General features: G+C 47.0%; 1 annotated feature.

The window, feature by feature from the left end:
- Positions 4,455 to 5,654: an enhancer, noted in NCBI's record as "MED14-independent group 3 enhancer chr10:44972894-44974093 (GRCh37/hg19 assembly coordinates)". NCBI's record gives its function as "activates an origin of replication core promoter dependent on BRD2, BRD4, P300/CBP and CDK7 cofactors, and independent of MED14, by STARR-seq in HCT116 cells {active_cell/tissue: HCT116}" and the evidence as "EXISTENCE:reporter gene assay evidence [ECO:0000049][PMID:35650434]".

Consider the following 6,308-nt stretch of genomic DNA (forward strand, 5'->3'; position numbering starts at 1 on the left):
CTCCCCACTCTGGCGCACCTGTGTGGAGAGCAGGCCAGGTGAGCTCCCCGGAGGCTGTCCGGTCCAGCTTTCCTCCCTTTTGGAGGTAGGGTTTCCACCATTTCCTCCATGAGATTCACCCCCAGTTTATCATCTCTGACGTTTACAGCAGGAAGATTGGGGTCACTAGGACTCCTGGGCTGGGGAATGGAGCCGCTGACTCACACAGAGACTTACAGGGTGGGTAGAATCCGAGCAACTCAATACCCAGAAGGCATCTGAGGATCAATACAGCAGGAATCACAGCTCATCTCTGGAAGGGCAGCAGCCCTGAGGCCAGCAGGGCATGAGTTTACAGAGCCATTCCAGGACCTGTGATTTACGGCAGACTGGTCAGACAGGCAGAGAGGCCTGAGCTCTGTGGCTCTCTGAACAGAAACAACTCACCCTGGGGGAAGGGAAGTGACCAGGGCCAGCTTTCTCTCCCCACAGGTCTGTCTCCCTCCCACCTGTTCTTTTTAAATAACATACTTATTGAGACATAATTCACATATCATACAAGTAACCTATTTAAAGTATAAAATTCGGTGGGCTCTTTATATTCACAGATTTGTGGAACCATCTGTGCCCATTTGGCTCCACTCCCTAGGCAGTCACTTTCTCTCTCTATGGATTTGCCTGGTGTGGACACTTCAAATACTACGTGGGCCTTTGTGGTTGGCTCCTTTCATTTAATATAATGTTTATAAAGCTCATCCATGTTGTAGCATGTATCAGGACTTCATTCCATATGAGCCAGCAATTTCCCTACTAGGCAAATATTCAAGAGAAATTAAAATATATATCCCATAAACACTTGCATGAGTGCTCAGAGCAGTGTTATTCATAAGAGCCAAAAAGTGGAAATGACATCAATACTTCATCAAGTGATGAAGGGATACACAAAAAGTGGCATATTCATTCCATGGAATATGGCTTGGCCATAAAAAGAATGAAGTACTGATATGTGGTACAGCATGGAAGAGACCTTGAGGACAATATGCAAAGTGACAGAAGTCAGTCATAAACGACCACATGTTGTATGATTCCACTCCTGTGTAATCTCCAGAAAAGGCAAATCCATAGAGACAGAAAGATTATTAACTGCCAGGGATTGGGGGAAGAGGAATGAGGACCAGGGACTGCTAATGGATACAGGGAATCTTTTAAAGGGGTGATGAAAATGTTCCAGAATTAAATAGTGGTGTTAGTTGCATAGCCTGGTGACTGTGTTAAAAAACCACTGACTGTACACCTTAAATGGCTGAATCTCTTTTTTTTGAGATGGAATTTTGCTCCTGTTACCCAGGCTGGAGTACAATGGCGCGATCTCAGCTCACTGCAACCTCCGCCTCCTGGGTTCAAGCGATTCTCCTGCCTCTGCCTCCTTAGTAGCTGGGATTACAGGCATGAGCCATCATCCCTGGCTAATTTTTGTATTTTTAGTAGAGATGGGGTTTCACCATGTTGACCAGGATGATCTCAAACTCCTGACCTCAGGTGATCCACATGCCTCAGCCTCCCAAAGTGCTGGGATTACAGGCATGAGCCACCATGCCTGGTCAAATGGCTGAATCTTATAGAAAATAAATTGCAGTTGAATGGAAAATTTGTAAAAGGAGTATAGAGAGAAAATGGAGGAAATGAAGAAGACCGAGGAGAATGCTTCAGGTCCAGAGAAGTTGGTGTAGACCTGTTTCTCCCTGCTGTCTGCACTAGCACAGCAACAGGCCCAGGAAATGACATGACTGGCAGCCAAGTGCCGTTCCAACAAGTGGCCAGAAGAAGAACTGCTGGAGACCCCAGGACTGGAGGAAGAAATAGTGGCAGAGTAGATTAGGTCCTCTACCCAGCAGAGGAAGGAGACCCAAACCAGGTGTTTGCCATCCCCCACCCAGCAACAGAAGGCACCCGTGTGGGCTCTTTTCACTGCATTGGAGGAGAGTTCCTATGACAGTGTGGCCTGCTCCGTGATCAACTGGGACCCAACTGTCAACAAACAGTGAGGGAAGAGGTCTCCTCCCTGACGCCAGTGGGCCTGAGGTCTTTCTGCTCCACTGAGAGGCCTGCTGGGCCAGGTAGCATGGACAAGACAGATCCCCCACAATAAGTGGCATGGCCTGGGAAGCCCATTCGTCCCCATAGGGCTGAGACTCTTTCCCCAGCGGAGACACCAGGGCAGCTGGGAGTCACTGTTAAAGGGACCCCATAGCAACAAGCATTTGGCCATAGAAACCCCTGGCCGTCTTGGGCCTGAAAGACCCCCTATGCATCAGGAGACAGTGGTGCTCCACCTGGAAAAACTCCTCCTACCTCCTCAGGTGGCACTAGAAGGCCCAAGGGGAGCCCCAGGGGCACTGGGTGAATCAGCAGGCCACAATGCCAGGGCAAAAGCCTTGAAAATTCAACTGCCTTTGGAAGCACAGCCCACAAAATCGGCCAGTTCCTGGGGCTAAAACTAAACAAATTATTATTATTTTGACCGGGTGCCAAAATAATAGATTTTTAATACAATTGAAAGTCTCCCTGCATCTGCCATCAACCCACTTCTATGTAACTGAGTCCTGCACTGTCCCGTGAATGAGTTCTGGGGCCATAAGGGCTGTATTTTTGTTGTATTTTTAAATTTTCAATTATTTTCCAGATTGAAAAGTGATACATGTACATCATAGAAAATCTGGAAAAAAAGAGCAATACAAAAGAAACTGTGTTGCCTGTAATTTCACCACTCACAAAGAATATATGCATATATGTATGTATGTATGAGTGTGTGTATCTATATTATCCATATATCCTTCCGGTCTCTATATCTGTATAGCGGAAAGTTTTTCTCTTATAGAAAATAACACTATTCTGTGTCTAACATAGTTGTAACATGTCTTTTTCCTATAGAATATATTCCTTCTCCAAATCATTAAATGTTCGTTCTGCATCTCTTTTAGTTGTTACATAGTGTTTAATCACATTCATGTAAAGGAAGTGCATCAGTTACTTTTGGACAACCCATGCTTGGCACAGTATGCCATAGGTGCTCGATGAATGTTGGATGAATGAATGGACAGAGCCATGTGACCAGCTGGAAGTCCACAATGCCTGGCGAGTCCCTCGCTGAGAATTAAATTGTCCAGCCAGGACCCATAAAGGAAGAAAGAGCCCGTGTCCAGGCTTGTGGGAAATCACCAGGAAGGGTCATGGCTCTGTGTTCTCGGCTCTCCCAGAATTGGTCCTCCAGATCCCACTGGGAAGGAAGGCCCACTTCTGGCACACCCTAGAAGGCTCACTGCAAGATACCTTGCAATTCTGTCTTCCCTTCAAACTCCTTCTTGCACCTCCAGGCCATCACGCATTGACTCATGTGGTTGTTCAGTCTGCACCGTCTACCCAGTATTTCCTAATGGCAGCCCCAATCTGACATCGGCTCCAGTCCCAGGGACACCTCCGGTGTGCACGTTCCCTGACCCCCTCTAACACCTCCACTGTGCCCCCCTTTTTCCCCAGCACTCAGTGCAAGTGTCAGACAGAAGCCTTGGCCATCTGCTGGATTAATGTGTTCTTATGTCTGCCTCATGCATTAGACTCCAGATTCCCGGCCTCAGCCCTCTGTGAATGCCTGTGGAAGGAGTAACATGCAGGGCGAGACCAGCTTGCCTCTGCAGAGGAGCAGAGAGCTTCACGCCCCACAGCCACTGACCTCACAGCTCAGAGGGGAGTGGGTGGCAGCTGCCTGGACTGGGGTTGGTGTCCCCGGAAAACATTTGCCCTTGCTTTGCCTTGTCTCCAATGCCAGAGAGTTGCCAGAGAGCAGGAAGAAGACAAGGATCCCTTGGCATGTTTCCTAACCATGCTTTATGAAAGAGAAAGTCATCTTTATTACATTTAATTTAGAGAAGGGGGTTATGGGCACTTCATCTGGTGCTCACTTCAGAGCAGCTGTTCAGCATTACTGAGGAGAAGGATGAGTGACTTGTGTTCCTTGCTTCATGCCAGATAATCCAAAGAATAGACACAATGGCGTCTCTCCTGACAGGCAGAGTTCCTGGAACCAGGAAGCTTTCTTCCAAATCCCCTAGGCCTAAGTCCCAAGATTTTTCTTCTTTTTGTCCCAAGGCTTGATTTAGTCAATAGATATTTCCTAGTGCTCACTCTGAGCCTGGTCCAGGGCTGCAGCTGGGAGCTGGAGCTCAGGATGAGTCAACCAGGAGCTGCCATGTGGCAATGGACTGTCCACTATGAGAGAGCACAGGAGCAGAGCTGTAACTGCAAATTTAAGCAGCAAAAGGATTTGCTGAGTGTGTACAGAGATACTCCCACAACTCAGGGGAAGGCTGGTGAGCAAGGCTTGGAACCAAGGGAGGTTAGACAACAGGAAAAGCAGCTGAGATAAGCCACGATTTCCATTGTTTTTGGAAGCCATTCCTGGGCCTTTGGCTGTCTTGAATATTTTCTCAAGTGTCCCTAAACATTTGTGTCACTCTCTCTGGATTTAAGGTACTACATGGGAGCGACCCAGTGGACAAATTTACATCATTTGCCTGCACTGTGGATGGTGACTGTGTGCAGAGAGAACTGGCTGGTCCTTTTGGATTCTGAGGAGAGAGTGACCTCACAGTGGCACCTGCCTACAGCCAGCATTTCTATTCAGATTTCTTCCTTTAAAATTGGTCTTCTGGTTATAGAAGGGAGATATACCTAGAAGAGGTATACCCAGAATCTTCAAAGGTAAGGATGAAGTTCCATCTCTTAAGCTGGATATGAATTTTTTGGTGTGTGTGGGGGTCATTTCTCAACTCAATACAGTGGGATACATATATGTATCACTCCCAGGCCTCAACAGAAAGCCAGCCCAGGACACAAGCTGTGGGGGAGTCTGTCTGCAATTTCCAGATTTGCAGGTAGATGCCTTCTAAAGATGTTTGCATTTTAAATTTTTTACTTTCCAATGACTTCATTTTAAATTTAAAAATAAATTCCTGGTGGTAAAGGTTATCTGTCTTTCTGGCTACAGTTAAGGCAGAGTTTGCTTAAATCTTGCAAAGAAAAACTTTGACCTGTCAGTAACTGGAAGAAACACATTTCTAATCTCAAGAAAATTGTAGTCAACTCACTCTAGGGTTTCCAGCCAAGTAACAAGGATTTAGAGTCCAGAAATATGGTGGTCCTGAGCTGTCTAGTCACATCTTCCTTAAACTACAGCTGAGTCACAGTTACTCTGCAGAATGAAGAATGATTGCCAAGCTTCTCATGGTGTTCTCATATCTCCTTCCTCCACACACACATAGTGAGACTCCTCTGGGAGTGTGCGTTTGATTAGTGTCGAAGCATTTTCAGCATCACTCATTGTTTTTATTAGTGCTTATCCATTTTTTCCCCCTGGATAACCCAAACATAGAGTTTCACCTGAGCATCATTAGAATTTCAAGTTGCTGCTACAAATATGTACTTATTCAGCATATACTTTTTGAGTGCCTACCAAACTGTAGCCATGGGGATGAGGACAAAGACCTGGCCCTTTCTTGGAGATTATCTTCTGGGGTGAGAGATGGGTCAGCAAAGGGCAAGTAGAATTCAGCGTGGGAAGGGCTCTGAGTGAGTTAATCACAGGGCATCACAGGAGTGTGTGCAGGGGTCTCAATCTTGACCAGGGAAGTTGAGGTGAGTGGCCTAGGCTGAGGCAGCAGGAGGATACGGAGGGAAAGAAGCATGGGAGAGAGTTTAGAGGGCAGAGTTGCTTGGACCCTGGACTGTGTGGATGTGGGGTGCAATGCTGTGGGAGGACAATGTGCAGGGAGACCCTGCTGGGGCCACCTTGTAGAGGGGCCCCCTGTCCTTTTTATAAGAGACAAGAGGCAGGTTGTTTGGAGGAGCAGGGCGGGGAAGAGAATGAGTTCAGCTTCAGAACACATTGGTTTTGTTGCCAAAGGAATATTTAAGTGGAGCTTTCCAGTTGAGAGTTTGAATTCCGGGAGCACCGAGAGGGAGACTTACATTTCAAAGTTATCAGCACATATATGATCCACAAATGGGAGTAGATAAGTGAATCCAGAGACAAGGTTCAGTGAGAAGAAAAGTTGTCCTAAGACAGGATCCAAAGCACGTCCTAAGACAGAACTGCCAACAGATAGGTGGGGGAGGAACAGTCCTTGAGAGAAGCATTCCCCATAGGGCAGTCAATATTTTGTCCAAACGAACTTGCAGCTCCCCGGTAAATCTCTGTTCTCAGAGTGTGGTGGCTCTTTGATTGAATTCAGAGCTCAGCTCAGCTGGGGAAGCAGCGGGGGCGGTGGGGGTGG

This window comes from Homo sapiens, chromosome 10 (assembly GCF_000001405.40).
Source record: "Homo sapiens chromosome 10, GRCh38.p14 Primary Assembly".
Lineage (NCBI taxonomy): Eukaryota > Metazoa > Chordata > Mammalia > Primates > Hominidae > Homo > Homo sapiens.